The 17,975-nt window shown below is 45.4% G+C and overlaps 1 annotated feature.

Moving 5' to 3' along the window:
* Positions 1,365 to 1,595: a silencer, noted in NCBI's record as "fragment chr9:114736633-114736863 (GRCh37/hg19 assembly coordinates)". NCBI's record gives its function as "represses an EF-1alpha promoter that drives an FKBP-Casp9 reporter gene in an ReSE screen in K562 erythroleukemia cells {active_cell/tissue: K562}" and the evidence as "EXISTENCE:reporter gene assay evidence [ECO:0000049][PMID:32094911]".

Here is a 17,975-nt window from a genome sequence, read left to right as displayed (position 1 = left end):
AGCAGAGGGAATTGCTAACAAGTGCTCAGCAGATGGCAGTCTGACAAAGTGCACGTGGCTGACGCCAAAGGCCAGGGCAGCTTCTGCCCTTCCCACACAGCCAGCTGGGCCAGCCTGGGCTCACTCTTACCCCAGTGCCCTGGGACGTTCACTCTCTAGGAGAGAGGGTCCTCAACCTGTCCTGGACCACAGTGAGACTTCTTACTTTTTCCTTCCATGCTTCCTGCGCTAACTCTACTTTTATGTGTAATGCTTAGTCTGCATAGTGTGTGGTTTCCTAGCATTTGCTCGAATTCCACATGGAGCCCAGTGGTCTGTGATAGGCACTGTAAACAAGGATATTCTTGTCCATATTGAGCAGACAGGTTCTGCCTTTAAACTCCTTAATCAAACCACTGCATGTGCAACTTGCCCTTGTCCTTGAAGGGTAGCCTTCATACATATCTATAAAGACAAGATGTTCTGGGGATTTTCTTTGTTTTTGTTTTTTTGGTCTTATTCTGTTGCCCAGGCTGGAGTACAGTGGCTCAATCATAGCTCACTGCAGCCTTGAACTCCTGGCCACAAGCGGTCCTCCTGCCTCAGCCTCCCAAGGAGCTAGGACTACAGGTGCATGCCACCACACTGGGCTAATTTTTAAATTTTTTTTTTTTTTTTTTTTGTAGAGAGAGGGTCTCAGTATGTTGTCTAGACTGGTCTTGAGTTCTTGGGCTCAAGTGGTCCTCCTACCTCAGCCTACCAAAGTACTGGGATTACAGGCATGAGCCACCGTCCCTGGCCCCTACCTGAGATGTTCTGTATATTTCTACCTCAATAACTTATATTTCCATAGGCCCTTTACAGATTGGCACCAGGCAGGCACTATGGACACATAAATGAATGAATCTAGAAACCGATCCCCCCTCCCCGACCAGGCTAATTTTTACCGCTCTAATCTCAAACAACTCCCCTCCCCCCCAAAAAGTTGTTAATCTGGGTTTCAGCATGAGATCAGGAATTTAGGTCTAGAAGAAGGCACCAACTAGGAAAAGATGAAGGGCTGTCTTCTATGGCTCCCAGAAGATGGACATGTCTGCCAAGGTCAGAAAGAGGCCAAAAAAAAGGTACTCTCCACAGGCAAGGTTATTTAACATTTCCCAGAATCCTTCTGACCTAGAATAATCTTTTTCCTTCCTGAAATTGTTGAGTCCTAGGTGAAAGCTGAGAGCAGGTGGCTGGCTGCTTAGAAACCAAGAAGAAGATCTGGAAATATAGGCAGAACTTTTTGACCTTAGAAAGACTTTTTGTTTCCTCGTGATCTCAGGCTACATGCGGTGGCTTGGTGACTTTTTGGCACTGCTCTTAGCTGACTCAGTCTTGCATTTCTAGCAGCACACAAGTCCAGCAAGTAAGCAGGATCTCTTGCTTTGCTGGGTTTGGAGAACCTCCCAAAGAGACATACAGATCAGAGTTCAGCCACACTGTGCTCACTCTTCTCTCGCTTCCACCAGGAAAACATAAAATGTCCACTCTTTTATGACAGCTTAAGCAATTAACATTCCTTACGGAAAATCTAAATGCAAATTGCACCTGCCACCTCCGGTCCCCTAAGGGGATGAATGCGGGAATATCGAATCTCTTAACAAACAACTTGCGTGAAGAGTTTTGTTCCTAAGAAATCAACATTTAGTGTATCATTTTGGTAAAATAATAGCCCGTAAAGCAGTGGTTGTTAATGCTGACTGCACATTAGAATTATCTAGGAGGCTTTGAAAAATGCTGACATGTCAGCCCCACTCCAGAGTTTATGACTTAATTGGTCAGGGCCCCCGTCAACCCGATCCCCGGCATCAGTAGTTTCAGAGCTTCTCCAGGTGAGATTACTGTGTGGCAAGGCATATAGAATTTACTTTTGTGCCAGGCACTCCTAAAGCACTGTATACATATTAATTGTTTAATCTTCACCACAATCCTGTGAAAAAGCTATTGTGATTAAACACATTTTACAGATTACAAAAGCCTTAATCATATCTAATTTGCTTGGCTTAAAAAAGGACCATTGGAAGAACTGGCAGAGGCTTTGAAACTGAGTTTCTGTCTCTTCCCACCAGTTTCTGGAAGGTGAATTGAACAATATGGAGAGACATTTCCTCAAAGATATGAAGGAAGCCAGCTCCTTGGAAAGACAAACACAGATTTAGTGACATTTTAGATAACTGCAAGGTGTTAGCTGAGATCACCCTGCTCACTAGATTTAGTATAATTTAAAGTCCCCTTGGCCGGGCGCAGTGGCTCACGCCTGTAATCCCAACACTTTGGGAGGCCGAGGCAGGTGGTTCACTCGAGGTCAGGAGTTAGAGACCAGCCTGGCCAACATGGTGAAACCCCATCTCTACTAAAAATACAAAAGGATTAGCCAGGTGTGGTGGTGCACGCCTGTAATTCCAGCTACCCGGGAGGCTGAGGCAGGAGAATTGCTTGAACCCAGGAGGCGGAGGTTGCAGTGAGCCGAGATCATGCCGCTGCACTCCAGCCTGGGTGACAGAGTGAGACTCTGCCTCAAAAAAATAAAGAAATAAAAAATAAAGTCCCCATTCTATAACTTGCAGAAATCAATGCTCTCCAAATTTTTGCAAATGTCTGGGGGACTTAACTTCTCACAGTTGCTTCTGCTCTAAGATTGTGTTTCTGCTAGTAAGTTTAGATCATGACCCATCGCACAACAGTCCATGGACCTAGATACAGAACACAGCTACTTCCCCATTCTCCTCAACGGCCCCCACCTGCCCCAGCCAACATGGCCTTCATTTGAGGAGATGATGCTGAAAACTTGGAGAGATGAAGGAATTTACATCCATACAATACAAGCCCTAAGAATTCAGCTTAAATATTAGATTCCTTTTTTTTTTTTTTTTTTTTTTTTGAGAGGGAGTCTCACTCTGTTGCGCAGGCTGGAGTGCAGTGGCGCGATCTCGGCTCACTGCAACCTCCGCCTCCCGGGTTCAAGCGATTCTCCTGCCTCAGCCTCCTGAGTAGCTGGGATTACAGGCTCGCACCACCACACCCAGGTGATTTTTGTATTTTTAGTAGAGATGGGGTTTCACCTGTTAGCCAGGATGATCTCGATTTCCTGACCTCGTGATCTGCCCACCTCGGCCTCCCAAAGTGCTGGGATTACAGGCATGAGCCACTGTGCCCAGCCTAGATTCCTCTTAAAAGTTCTTTTAGCTGTTTCATCATTGGGAATTTTACTGTATCACTGCTCTCTACCTTTTCTCTCTTCCTGTCTCATTTCTGTTTTCTCTCTTTCTACACTTCACAACCAGGCTTTACAACTTGAGAATCAACCTTATATGTCTAGAAGAATTATGAAAGTATTTTTTGGTAGAACCAAGAATGCTCCTTCCCAAAGATAAACTTTAGGGCCACCTGTTGAGATAATATTTACATAAGACTTTCCCCCCTTTCTTACATTAAAATAAAGATTTGATAACTTCGGACAAATTTGTAACTCACCATGGGTTCCTGGGCCCTGCTAGGCAGCCTAACCTTGAAGGAAGAGAGGTAGTCTCAGTTTTCTTATTTGCGGCATAGCCATTGTGCTTTGACAAGTCAGCGTTAAGACTAGGCCTTGTACATAGGGGTCTCAGTAGGAGGAAAGGGAAATAGGCTTTTTAAAAAAATTTAAATATATATATATGTAATATGTATATATATATGGTCTCACTTTGTCACCCAGGTTGGAATGCAGTGGCGCGATCATGGCTCCCTGCAGCCTTGAAGTCCTGGGCTCAAGCAATCCTCCCGCCTCAGCCTCCTGAGTAGCTTGGGACTACAGGTGCATGCCACCATGCCCGGCTAATTTTTGTATTTTTAGTAAAGAGGGGGTTTCACCATTTCGCCCAGGCTGAAAAATGGTCACTTTTATATTACTCATACAACTTTTGAGTTACCAGTAGTATAAAAGTAAATTTTTATATGTATTATGTATGAGAGGCTGGGCGCGGTGGCTCATGCCTGTAATCTCAGCACTTTGGGAGGCTGAGGTGGGTAGACCAACTGAGGTCAGAGGTTTGAGACCAGCCTGACCAACATGGAGAAACCCCATCTCTACAAAAAGAATACAAAATTAGTCGGGCGTGGTGGTGCATTCCTATAATCCCAGCTACTTGAGAGGCTGAAGCAGGAGAATTGCTTGAACCCAGGAGGCAGAGGTTGCAGTGAGCCAAGATCGCACCATTGCACTCCAGCCTAGGCAACAAAAGCGAAAATCTCCATCTCAAAAAAAAATTATGTATGATAATATAATGTAGTATGTTTATGGATATACATTAGTATTCTGAAAATAGATATAACTAGAAGAGCTATATCAATAAGACTGAAAGAAAAGTCTAGAAAAGCTTTATCTATACATTATTTATTATATTATATACACTGTACATATAAATACTCTTCCATATATCATATAACTGAGAAAAGTTTGGATAGTTGAACAAACGACATTGGAAACGTTGGCTAGTCATTTGGAAAAAAAATTGGAGTCACTTTGTACTTACTAGAAGAATATTTAGGTGAATACAGTCATGTGTTACATAGCAATGTTTTGTTCAATAATGGATACATATACAATAGTGGTCTCATAAGAGTATAATGGAGCTGAAAAATTGCTATCACCTAGTGATGTTGTAGCTGTAGCCATCATAATGTCATAGGGCAGCACACTACCTTCCCTGTGTTTAGCTGCACCAATACCTGCAAAGACTCATCTGAAAATGAGAAGAATCTAAAAGCTGAGGGTATGCCTGCAGGACCAAACTTGACCTACCAGGGCAGAATTCCAGAGGGAGATAGTAGAGGAAATTCACAAATACCAACTACAAGGAGGAGAGCGGTCAGGGAGAAACTATTCACCCTGAGGGTCAAAGAGAAGACTTGGAGAAAACATTCATCCAACTCTTGGCCTTAAGCGATCTTCCCACCTCAGCTTTCCCAGAAGCTGAAGCCACAGGCTCATGGCCACCCCCACAGGTGGAGAAAGCATTTGTGAAAACAGCAGGGACTTTCAGATAACACATGCCTTGCACTTACACAAAAAAGAAAGTGCATGTGACCTCTAGAAGCCAAAGAGAGGAAAGATGTAGAAAGGAATCAACTGAATGAAGACCCTGCGCAGCAGCTCATGCCTGTAATCCCAGCACTTTGGGAGGCCAAGGCGGGCAGATCACTTGAGGCCAAGAGTTTGAGACCAGACTGGCCAACATGGCCAAACCCTGTCTCCACCAAAAATACAAAAATTAGCCAGGCATGGTGGCACACGCCTGTAATCCCAGCACTTTGGGAGGCCAGGAGTTTGAGACCAGACTGGGCAACATAACGAGACCCCATCTCCAAAACAGAAAAATCAGGCGGGGCGTGGTGGCTCATGCCTGTAATCCCAGCACTTTGGGAGGCCGAGGCGGGTGGATCACCCGAGGTCAGGAGTTCCAGACCTGGCCAACATTGGCAAAACCCCATCTCTACTAAAAAGACAAAAATTAACTGGGTGTGGTGGCGGGCGCCTGTGATCCCAGCTACTTGGGAGGCTGAGGCAGAAGAATCACTTGAACCAGGGAGGTGGAAGGTGCAGTGAGCCAAAATGGCGCCACTGCACTCCAGCCTGGGCAACAGAGTGAGACTCTGTCTCAAAATAAAATAAAATAAAATAAAATATCACATAAATGTCAGAGGAAAAGATGGAGAAATAAAAGCAATCAAAAGAAGGATGAGAGGCTGTGAAAGGCCCATGTGCCCTGCTAACTGAGACTTGGTCATGACCCAGTGGGCCTGCATTTCCTACGGAGGATAAAAAGCTAAAGATTCAATACCTCAGCTTCCTCAGAAGGATACAGGTCTTCTTCTCACATGAAAACATGTTGAAATTACTTTAAGAAAAATCAAGTTGCAAAGATGTATAGAAAAAATTGTGTGTGTGTGTGCGTGTGTGTGTGTGCGTGTGTGTGTGTGTGTGTGAAAGAGAGGCTGAATTGTGCCTTGGCTCACCCCCGACCAATTTGTACGTTGAAGCCCTAATCCTCAGCCTCTCAGGATGTGACTGTATTTGGAAACAGAGCCTTCAAAGAGGTAATTAAGGGTAAATGAGGTCATTAGAGTGGGCCGTAATCTAACAGGACTGGTGTCTTTATAAGAAAAGGAGATTAGGACACAGACTCACACAGAGGGAAGACCATGTGAGGACACAGGGAGAGGACGCGGCCACCCAAAAGCCAAGGAGAGAGGCCTGAGAAGAAACCAGCCCTCTCAACACCGTGATCTTGCACTGCCAGCCTCCACAACTGTGAGAAAATAAATCCTGTTTTTGGAGTAACTGGTCTGGGGTATTTTATTAAGGCAGCCCTAGCAAATAGGATGTAATAAAATAAAACTTGAAGAAAATATGTAATTTTTAAATTTTTTTAAGAGATGGGGGTCTCACCGTATTGCTCAGACGGGTCTGGAACTCCTGGGCTCAAGCAGTCCTCCTGCCTCAGCCTCCTTAATAGCTGAGACTGCAGGCGTGAGCCACCTGGCCCAGCTCAAAACTGGAAGAAAATCCATCATACTCTAGCTGAGGTTACTTCTGAATGGGTGGCTATATAAGGGACTTTTAACTTTTTTTAAATTTTTTTAAGTCAGAGTCTCTCTCTGTTCCCAGGCTGAAGTGCAGTGGCACAATCAAAGCTCACTATAACCTCCGCCTCCTGGACTCAAGGGATTTTCCCATCTCAGCCTCCTAAGGGACTACAGGCATGTGCTACCATGTCTGACTAATTTTTGTGTTTTTCGTAGAGATGAGGTCTTGCCATCTTCCCCAGGCTGGTCTCAAACTCCTGGGCTCAAGTGATTTGCCGGCCTCGGCCTCCCAAAATGCTAGGATTACAGGCATAAACCACCATGCCCAGCCTTAACTTTTATTTTTTGTTTTTGTTTTTTGTTTGCTCGTTTGTTTGTTTAGAGATCATATCTCGCTCTGTCGCTAAGGCTGGAGTGCAGTGGCAAAATTTCGGCTCACTGCAGCCTCCACCTCCCAGGTTCAAGTGTTTCTCCTGCCTCGGCCTCCCGAGTAGCTGGGATTACAGGCACACACCACCACACCTGGCTAATTTTTGTATTTTTAGTAGAGACAGGATTACGCCATGTTGGCCAGGATTGTTTCAAACTCCTGACCTCAGGTGATCTGCCCACCTTGGCCTCCCAAAGTGCTGGGATTACAGGCACGAGCCACCACGCCCAGCTTAACTTTTAAATTATGCATTTTTGTTTGAACATATTATAATAAGCATAATTTCTTTCTTAATGGAAATAAGGAATCTTTTAAAATTAGCTAAGATAAAAGAAAGTTAAAATGCAGAGTAACTGACGCCTCTCTCGTGTGGCCACAATTTTGCCTCTGCTGCCAATAATGCAACTTACACAAGCACATCCTGTTAGTTACAGTTCACTGTGTCTGTGGGAAGACGGCCTGGACCACTATTAAAAGATACCCATGGCTGGGCGCAGTTGCTCACGCCTGTAATCCCAACACTTTGGGAGGCCGAGGCAGGCAGATAACCTGAGGTCAGAAGTTCGAGACCAGCCTGGCCAACATGGTGAAACCCTGTCTCTACCCAAAATATTTTTTAAAAAAATTAGCCAGGCCTGGTGGTGGGTGCCTGTAATCCCACCTACTTGGGAGGCTGAGGCAGGAGAACTGCTTGAACCCAGGAGACAGAGGTTACAGTGAGCTGATACAGTACCACTGCACTCCAGCCTAGGTGACAGAGTGAGACTCCGTCTCAAAAAAAAAAAAAAAGATACCCACCTAGTGTTAATAATGGTATCAAACAAGAATGCTCTCTGCTTTGAGCAAAACCAAAGGAGTGATACCTATGACCAGCTCTAGGGAAATCTAATATCTACTTAGTAGTTTGTTCTAGGGGAAAGAACTGGGACTGGGAGGTCTTTATTGCAGAAGGTAGAGAAAAGTAATCAGGCATTTTTTTTCACTAACGTGTTGAGCCCTTATTATATGCAGTCATTATGTTAAGTGATTTTCATTTATTATTTCATTTAATTGGGAAACAGTGCTTTGGGAGGTTGAGGCTGGAGGATCACTTGAGCCCAGGAGTTCAAGACCAGACTGGGCAACATAGTGAGACCCCATCTCTACCAAAATTTTTTAAAAATTAGTCGGGCATGGTGGCATGTGCCTGTAGTCCTAGCTACTCTGGAGGCTGAGGTAGGAGGATTACTTGAGCCCAGGGGGTCAAGGCTGCAGTCAGCCATGGTCGTGCCATTGCATTCCAGCCTGGGTGACAGAGCAAGACCCTGTCTCAAAAAACAAACAAACAAACAAACAAAATAAAATAAAGATTAAAAAGTAAAAGGGCAGCTGAATCTGAAAGAGTTTAACGAAGTTGGTCAAACCTCTCAGCCGACACAGAAGCAGCCAGGATTTGGACCCGTGTAGTCTGGCTTAAGGCTAATGCTCTCTTAACCTACATCTTGTGTAAGAAGGGCTGGCATCAAGTTTTACTGCAGCTACTTGCTAGATAAATGACCTTGGGCAAATCCCTCCCTATCCATAGGCCTAACTTCCCTCTTTGGTAGAGAGAGGGGCTTCACCTAGATACCCTCTGAGGACCTCTTGGCAGGCCTGGCCCTATTCCATCATTTTGGCAAATGGTCTGGGTAGAGGAGTCCAACAGATGGGGCTTTGGTTCCAGCACAAGATTTGCCTTAGCTTTGAAGAGGCAGCTGTGTCCTGGAAGATAGGCACTGTCACCAGGAAAGAGATGATGTCTTCTCTGCAGGATCTGCTGGGGGAGGGAGGGGGACTCACTCATAGCCAGGCTGTGTTGCAAGACCTTGGGGAGCTCCCTACCTCCCCTTCCTTCTGAGCCTTACTCTTGCCTTTATTCTTGGCTCCACTGCCATTTTCTCAGCTCCACTGCCATTTTCTCAGCTCTGTGTTGCCCATCAGTGGTGATAAGTGATGCCAAGATCAAGCTGCTGGCAGTTTTTTTGTTTGTTTGTTTGAGATGGAGTATTGCCAGTTGCCCAGGCTGGAGTGCAGTGGCACGATCCTGGCTCACTGCAACCTCTGCCTCCTGGGTCCAAGTGATTCTCCTGCCTCAGCCTCCCAGTAGCTGGGGCTACAGGCATGAGCCACCACACCCAGCTATTTTTTGTATTTTTAGTAGAGATGGGGTTTCATCATGTTGGCCAGGCTGGTCTTGAACTCCTGACCCCAAGTGATCCACCCACCCCGGCCTCCCAAAGTGCTGGGATTTCAGGCTTGAGCTACCACATCCAGCTGCTGCTGGCAGTTTAAAAAATGTTTTGGTAGAGATGGGGTCTCACTATGTCGCCCAGTCTGGCAGTCCAAGATCAAGGTGTTCCCGCCACCACCACCCCTGCACACCAGCCTGTGCCTGTTCAAGCTGAACTTCATTCTTCTCCATGGACACACCAGCCTTATCACACCTCTGCACGTTTCATACACATGACAGTCTCCTCTGCCTGCAATGACACCCACCCCTTTCTTCATATCTTTAAGTTTTTTGTTTGTTGTTTTGAGACGAGTCTCGCTCTGTCACCCAGGCGGGAGTGCGGTGGTGCGATCTCGGTTCACTACAACCTCTGCCTCCCGGGTTCAAGCAATTCTCCTGGCTCAACCAACTGAGTAGCTGGGATTACAGGTGCGCACAACCATGCTGGCTAATTTTCTTTCTTTCTTTTTTTTTTTTTTGAGACAGAGTCTTGTTCTGTCACCAGGCTGGAGTGCAGTGGCGCGATCTCGGCTCACCTCAACCTTTGACTCCCTGGTTCAAGCTATTCTCCTGCCTCAGCCTCCTGAGTAGCTGGGATTACAGGCACGTGCCACCACACCCAGCTAATTTTTGTATTTTTAGTAGAGACGGGGTTTCACCATTGTTGGCCAGGATGGTCTCAAACTCCTGACCTCAAGTGATCCGCCCCCCTCCACCTCCCAAAGTGCTGGGATTACAGCGTGAGCCACCACGCCCGGCCACCTTTAAGTTGTTTATACTTCTCCGGGTCTGGCTTAGAAGTCCCTCCTCCTTGAGGTCTGTCTTTAAATTAGAAGTGCCCTCTGTCCCCCTCTGACCACCCATTGCATTTTATCAATCCCTTTCTTTGAGCAGGCACTACTTCTTTTTCTCCTAGTGGTTAAATAATCATCTCTCAACTGGACTGTGAACCACAAGGCAGGATTCCTGTCACATGAAGCATCTTGGATTTCCCCATGGCACCTAGAACATATTAATGAGTAACAAAGAGTGTGTACCTAAGTTCAGAGCATGAGTAAGAAACTGAGTGACCTCAGTTGCTGAGACTCTGAGGCATGAAACTTAAGAATGGAACACAGAGATGGAAGAGAACAGAACCCTTCAAGGGAATATTTATGGTGGATGGAAATCAATCACCTTAGGCCAGAGATACAGAGGGCATATAGTAAGGCTAAAAGGAAGAACAACACAAGTACTGTCCTGGTGGACAAGAAATGCAGTCTTGGCCAGGCGCGGTGGCTCATGCCTGTAATCCCAGCACTTTGGGAGGCCGAGGTGGGCGGATCATGAGGTCAGGAGTTCGAGACCAGCCTCGCCAACATAGTGAAACTCCGTCTCTGCTAAAAATACAAAAAGTAGCCGGGCATGATGGTGCATGCCTCTAATCCCAGCTACTCGGGAGGCTGGGGCAGGAGAATAGATTGAACCTGCAAGGCAGAGGTTGTGGTGAGCCGAGATCACGCCACTACACTCCTAGCTGGAGGGAAGTAAAGAATGATATGGAAGTACATAAACAGTCCACACTCCACTGAAATTTTCATACACATAAAACCAGAGCCTGTGGCAAACTCCTCGCTTTGCTTTGCCGACAGCTTTATGGTGGTTGTGAGAGGAAAGGTAGAGAAGCAATACTGATCAAAAAAGGAAGTTAAATGCATAAGAATCATAAGAGAAAGAAACTATGGCTTGAGGTACTGAGGGGTTAATTTCTTTATGGGGATTAGGAAACAAAAATGCACTTTTGCTGTAATAAGGTGGGTTTTTTTCCTCTGAAAACAACACTAATGTATTTTTATTTATTTATTTATTTTTGAGAGGGAGTTTCACTCTTGCTGCCCAAGTTGGAGTGCAATGGCACAATCTCGGCTCACTGCAACCTCCACCTCCCAAGTTCAAGCAATTCTCCTGCCTCAGTTACCCAAGTAGCTGGGATTGCAGGCATGTGCCACCACGCCCTGCTAATTTTGTAATTTTGGTAGAGATGGGGTTTCACCATGTTAGTCAGGCTGGTCTCGAATTCCTGACCTCAGGTGATCCACCCGCCTCAGCCTCCCAAAGTGCTGGGATTACAGGCGTGAGCCACCGCACCCAGCAGAAACACTAATTTTGAGCTAGAAAACGTGGTGGATCTTAGAATTGGGATACGATGGGACTTCTGCTCTCAGGGGCTAGGACACTGAGATGGTAGGGAAAGGGAGTTACAGGTAAAATGTGTGACTATGTTTAGAAATATCTCCGCATGTAGCACTCTAGCCCTATACGAAGACACCTTGGGAAGAGGCTGTGTCCATGTGTCACCTACAGATAGAGCTGTGTGGCAGAAATTTCCCACACTAGATGTGGCTGCAGCTGAGCACAACACTATAGAGGAGAAGCATTATCTTCTCCTCTGCCACTGGGTGTGTCTTGACAGCCAAAGCACTTTCTTCCATAGTCAAGGTCCTCTGGATCTCCAGCACACCATATGTTGGTGAAAGTGGTATCTGGGTGACCATCATGTGGACTCGGAAAGCACAGACCTGCTGACACAGCAAGCATTAGGTTCTCCAGCTTCTAGAGTGGAAGACAGCAAGGGAGAAGGAGATCAGGAATGGGTTTGTGTATGAGTTTTCTACTGCTGCTGTATCAAATCACCACAAACTTGGTAGCTTAACAATACAAATGTGTGATCTACAATTCTGGAGGTCAGAAGTCTAAAATGGGCCTCACTAGGTTAAAATCAAGGAGTCAACAGGACTGCCTTCCTTCTGTTTTTTGTTTATTTGGTTTTTTTGTTTTTGTTTTTGTTTTTTTTTTTGAGATGGAGTCTCGCACTGTCGCCCAGGCTGGAGTGCAATAGTGCAATCTCCACTCACTGCAAACTCTGCCTCCCAGGTTCAAGCGATTCTCCTGCCTCGGCCTCCTGAGTAGCTGTTATTACAGGCACCCGCTATCATACCTGGCTAATTTTTTATATTTTCAGTCAAGACAGGGTTTCACCATGTTGACCAGGCTTGGTCTTGAACTCCTGACTTCATGATCCACCCATCTCGGCCTCCCAGAGTGCTGGGATTACAGGCGTGAGCCACCGCGCCCGGCTTGTTTTGTTTTGTTTTTTGAGACAGGGTGTCACTCTGTTGCCCAGACTGGGGTGCAGTGGTACGATCACTGCTCACGGCAGCCTCCATCTCTCTGGGCTCAGGTTATTCTCATGCCTCAGCCTCCTGAGTAGCTGGGACTGCCAGCACGTGCCACCATGCCTGGCTAATTTTTGTGTTTTTTGTAGAGATGGGGTTTTGCCATGTTGCCCAGGCTGGTCTCAAATTCCTAGGCTCAAGCGATCCGCCTGCCTTGGCCCCCCAAAGTGCTGGATTACAGACATCAGCCACCATGCCTGGCCTTGCATTCCTTCCGGGGGCTCTAGAAGAGAAGTCATGTTCTTCCCTTTTTAGCTTCTAGGGGCTGCCTGCATTCCTTGTGTCTTGGCCCCTTCTTCCATCTTCAAAGTCAGCAGCATAGCATCTTTACATCTTTTCTTCCTCTGTCTTCTACATTCAAGGGATCTTTGTGATTAAATTGGGCTCACTTGGAGAGTCCAGTGTGACCTCCTTATCTTAAGGTCTGCTGTTTAGCAAGCTTAATACCACGTACAACCTTAATTCCTTCTCACTGTGTAACATAACATATTCTCATGTCACATAACACATCACTCCTGACCAGGAGATCAGGACATGGACATCTTCAGGGTGCCATCATCTGACTGTTACAGTTAACAAAGATTTTGTGCCATGGAAACATGAAGAAAAAAACCCTTATCCTTATTTTCCTTCTGTCTTTCTCATCAGGTAGAAAGATCTTTGGATCCAAAAGAGAAGACTCTACATTGGTTAGACTCAAAGCTCAAGATAGGTGAAGAGGGAAGTACATTAACTCTCCACGTGAATGAGTGCTGGGCTCCAGTTTTGGAACAGAATTTGCCGCAAGATACTGAAAGAATTTAGGAATGAGATTTCCAGGTTGCTCAAAGAGAGCTTTGAGGATGTATGGAGAATAGTCAAAGTGTTAGAAGACTAGAAATGGGCAAACAGTGTACAGTTTTTTGAAGGGAGAAGGTAGATCCCCTAAACTATAGGTGAATGAGATTGACATTGCTTCCAGTCTCCCAGGCTGGGGTGCAGTGGCATGATCTTGGCTCACTGCAACCTCTGTCTCCCAGGTTCAAGCGATTCTCCTGCCTCAGCCACCCAAGTAGCTGGGATTACAGGCGTCCACCACCACGCCTGGCTAATTTTTGTATATTTAGTACAGAAGGGGTTTTGCCATGTTGGCCAGGCTGGCCTCGAACTCCTGACATCAGGTGATCCAGCCACCTCAGCCTCCCAAAGTGATGGTATGACAGGCATGAGCCACCGTGCCCGGCCTGAAAATAATTTCAAATGAAATATGAAAGGAATGGTTCCCAAGCACGTAAAAGAATCCTTTGCAATTATGAAACAGTACAGGTGCTCTGAGAACAAATCATGTCAGACAAATGTTATTTCCTCCTTTGACATGGTTTCTCCATGGTAGATTTAGAGGAGAGATGGACTCTGTGCATCACCAGATTATAAGAACCTCATGGAGCTTTCCTAAGGCAGAATTATGTGGCTCATCTGTAAATTATCAGTGGTGTGCTGGGGTCGCCTCATGCTGGCTCACAAGAGCTGTTTATGCATATACATCTCTTTCCAACTCTGTGTTCAATGACATCACCTTGGTAGTTTGAAATCTGCCATGGTAGGAAGTAGTTATGCCATGGAAATCAGCAAACATTACAAACAAACTAGGGTTTTTTTTTCTTCTGGGTAGTCAGCTGTTAAAACACTTACCGCCACAACACGGCATCTACGGCAAGTATCTGGTACAGTGCCAAGACACAGCAGGTGCTCAATGAATGTTGGCTGAAGAAATAAATAACTTGACCAAAAAACTAAACAGAGTCTCCCGTAATAAAATTGGGGTCAAGATAGAGACATCTTAGCTGCATGCTAGCGCAATGAAAATTTTAAAAACAAACAAACAAAAAGAAAAGAAAAGAAATAAAGAAAAAAGAATCAATGTCAAGTTGGAGGGAATTTTCTAAGACTGGAAAAAAAAAAAAAAAACTCTGCCCTTGGTCCTGTGAGTCTTGAGTAATCTTTGCCAATGTAAAGTCCTGTTCTTGGATTAAATGAGAACTAAAGTAACAAAGCAAATTATAAAATGCAGGGTGGGGTGGAGGTAGGAGAACATAGCAGCATGAGGTGTGAAAAGTGAATCTCACTATTCCAAACTGGCCAGAAGATGATTAATGCATTGTGCCCAGATCCAGGTGTCACACAGTTGAGCATTCAAAGAAGAGTCACTAGAGTGATGGAAAACCAAAACTTGCCAGATGAGGCTTGACAGAGGAATTATGAGTGTTTTCATTGGAGAAGACTCAAATGAGTGTGAGGTTGACCCCAAATATTTGAATGATTATCACATTGATAGGGCCATCACACTGCCCAACTCCAGGGACACTGTTTACACAGTAGTCTACGTGAAAAGCAGCAGACGCCCACAGCTGAGCAATGTGCAGTCTGTACAACTGAAAGCACTTGTCCTGCATATGGCAAGGTATCACTATTTCAAATAGTAGAAGCCCCTGAGAATTATGTTTCAGCTCAATTTCGGCAAGACCCTCAGAACTGCTGAAGAAGATCCCTCTTGCCTTCGATGGATTCAAAACAGAGGCTGAATGGCCCATGTCTTAGAGGTGGCATAGGAAATTCTGACAACAGAAATTCTGAAGGAGGGTTTTTTGTTTGGTTTGGTTTGGGGTTTGTATTTTTTTTTTTTTGTTTGTTTTTTTTGTTTGCTTGTTTGTTTGTTTTTTTTGAGACAGAGTCTCACTCTGTCGCACAGGCTGGAGTGCAGTGACGCAATCTTGGCTCACTGCAACCTCTGTCTCCCAGGTTCAAGCCATTCTCTTGCCTCAGCCTCCTGAGTAGCTGGGACTACAGACACGTGCCACCATGCCCGGCTAATTGAAGGAAGGTTTTCTTGGATGACTTTTTACATTTTTCTAACTCTGAGATTCACTAGTCCCAGAGATAGAAATTGTCATTTATGGAGCTTCTACTTGTACTAGCTACTGTGTTGGGAGCTTTATGTATCTAATTTAATGTAATATTCAGAACAGCCCTACAATGTGGATATTATATTTACAGATAAGAAATTGAGACTCACATATTAATTCTTTGTCTGTAGTCATTCAATTATTGAGAAATTTAGCCAGGATTTAAAGCTGAGAGTATATGATTCCTTTGTTCTTCCTGGAACACTGGGGATTGGAAGGAAAGCTCGCCACCTGCCAACCCCCCATCCCAGAACTTTTGATTGGCAATGTGACAAGTCTCAACAGTGGTGGTCATGTCTTATAGGCAAGACTTCATACATTGCCTGAGCTGATGACTCAGGCTGAAGACCTCCCCCTCTAGCCTTGGGATACCTAGTGCATGGGATCAGACTCTTGCTTTGCTTCTTGCCTTGGGCTGTCATCACATATTCACAATGCCCTGAAGAAAAGGAAGATGCTCAGGAAAACGTAGCCTCTGACCGAATCCTCCTCTCTAGACTGAAGGTTGCGAGTCAGATGGTTCTTTATCCTTCCTCTCCACCTACTACACTGAAACTCCGGTCTTGACAGTGACTCTGTGGCTCACAATCAGCCCCAGGATTGCTTGCTTGCATGGAGCCAGTGACAGACTGGAGCCAGTCCCTGGGAGCTACCAAGCAGCTGACAAACTGGGAAGCGTGATCTTTGACTCATTCATCCATTACCCAACTAATCAGCACTGCATAGCTTGGGTGTTCACAGTGTGTCACCGCACACCAGAGCCACACCTCTCCATGGCTGGAACAGCTTGCCTTGCTGGCTCCTGAAGCATTTAGAGGATGTTTGTTGACTGGGAAGAACCAGTGCCTTGACTATTACCTAATGAGCTGTATCCACCAGTCATGTAACTCTCCAGTGTGAGAATTTGGTTGTGGGCTGATGTTGTGTCTTGGGCAATTACTTTGGATTTATCTGGAGCCACCCCTGTTGACAGTGGCTAGCACTCACACCTAGGATTAAAGTCTACTTATTATCAGAGGGCAAACACCTGTCCTCACAGTGAACACAACTACAATTACAGTCAGGGATTCATATCTCATTCTCTTTCAGCCTCTCAAGTGCACAATTTATTTTTGGCCTTGCTATTTTTCTGTCTGAATTATTTCCCTGCTATCCAGGCACTCCAGAACCCAACATTATTCTGTTCCATCCCACCACCACCATTATTGTCATGTCTGTAAATACACCATCGAACCATAAAAATTGGCACTACAGACAAGACAATGCACAGAAGGCTTGTCCAACATAAAACAGAAACTGCCATGATGTTTCAACTCAATATCGTATCCTCCCCCACCTTAAATGAAGAGCTGTTGTAATGTGTGGCACAAACAATGGTAAGAAATTGGTAAAAGGCGGTACTTATCTTTATTTTTCTAGAAGATTCTAACATTGTCTTGGAATTCACCAACCTCAAAACTTTGTAAAGACATCATAATGAAATGCTGAAAGTGACTGAAAAAGGGCTGTACTACACACTAGTTAAAAAAAACCCACAGTGAGGCCGGGAGCAGTGGCTTACGTCTGTAATCCCAGCACTTTGGGAGGCTGAGGCGGGCGGATCACCTGAGGTAAGGAGTTGGAGACCAGCCTGGCCAACATGGTGAAACCCCGTTTCTACTAAAAATACAAAAATTAGCCTGGCATGATGGCAGGAGCCTGTAATCCCAGTTACTTAGAAGGCTGAGGTGGGAGAATCACTTGAACCCAGGAAGCAGAGGTTACAGTGAGCCAAGATTGTGACACTGCACTCCAGCCTGAGCGACAAGAGTGACATTCTGTCTCAAAAAGCAAAAAAAAAAAACAAAAAACCCACAGTGGGTTCTGATCTCCAACTCCTGCTCCTCTTCAGATGATGCCAGTGATTACCCTAAACCAGTGGGGCAGGTTGGGTCTAATTGTTTGTGGGCAGCCCATGTCTCCTGGTCTCACACAGGATGCCCTGCACTGGGATGTCTGCCTGTTTCTATAGGATCTTATTACTCAGCATCATCTTTCTGCACAAGCTGAAGCTGCAGTGTTTGGATGCTGAGTCTGAGAATAGCTGAGTGAGGCTGAATGCTCTGAATCTCCAACCCGAGGGCTGTGAGCATGTAATCTGCTGGGATTTTTCTCCTCTAGTGACTGTATTCATATATGTGGTGGCCAAGAAAAGGAGGTTTAAAGCCCCTCTGTCTGGAGGAGTTCCTTCCTGCTTGAGATCGGAACTGAAAATGACTCCTCCATGTGCACAATGCTCTGGTATTTCCTGGGCAACAGTGTTACATGCTTCTGCAGCAAGAGTAACTTGAGATACTGCTTTTTAATCACTTCTTGCCCAATATCTCATATTACACAGTCATAATCCTCTCATACTCATTCATCAGAAAGCAGAACAGTTGGTGAATAGCTTGAGTTCTTCAACTGCAATCTGTAAGGGATATAGTGAGGTGGTATTTGTGTCGTTTTATTGGAGAAATCAGGGGAAGGTTTGACTGGGGAGATATCACCTACCTACATCATTTTCTTTCTTT

Source organism: Homo sapiens, chromosome 9 (genome assembly GCF_000001405.40).
Source record: "Homo sapiens chromosome 9, GRCh38.p14 Primary Assembly".
NCBI lineage: Eukaryota > Metazoa > Chordata > Mammalia > Primates > Hominidae > Homo > Homo sapiens.
Note: the sequence above shows the minus strand (reverse complement) of the source record. Positions and strands in the feature narration are given on the sequence as shown.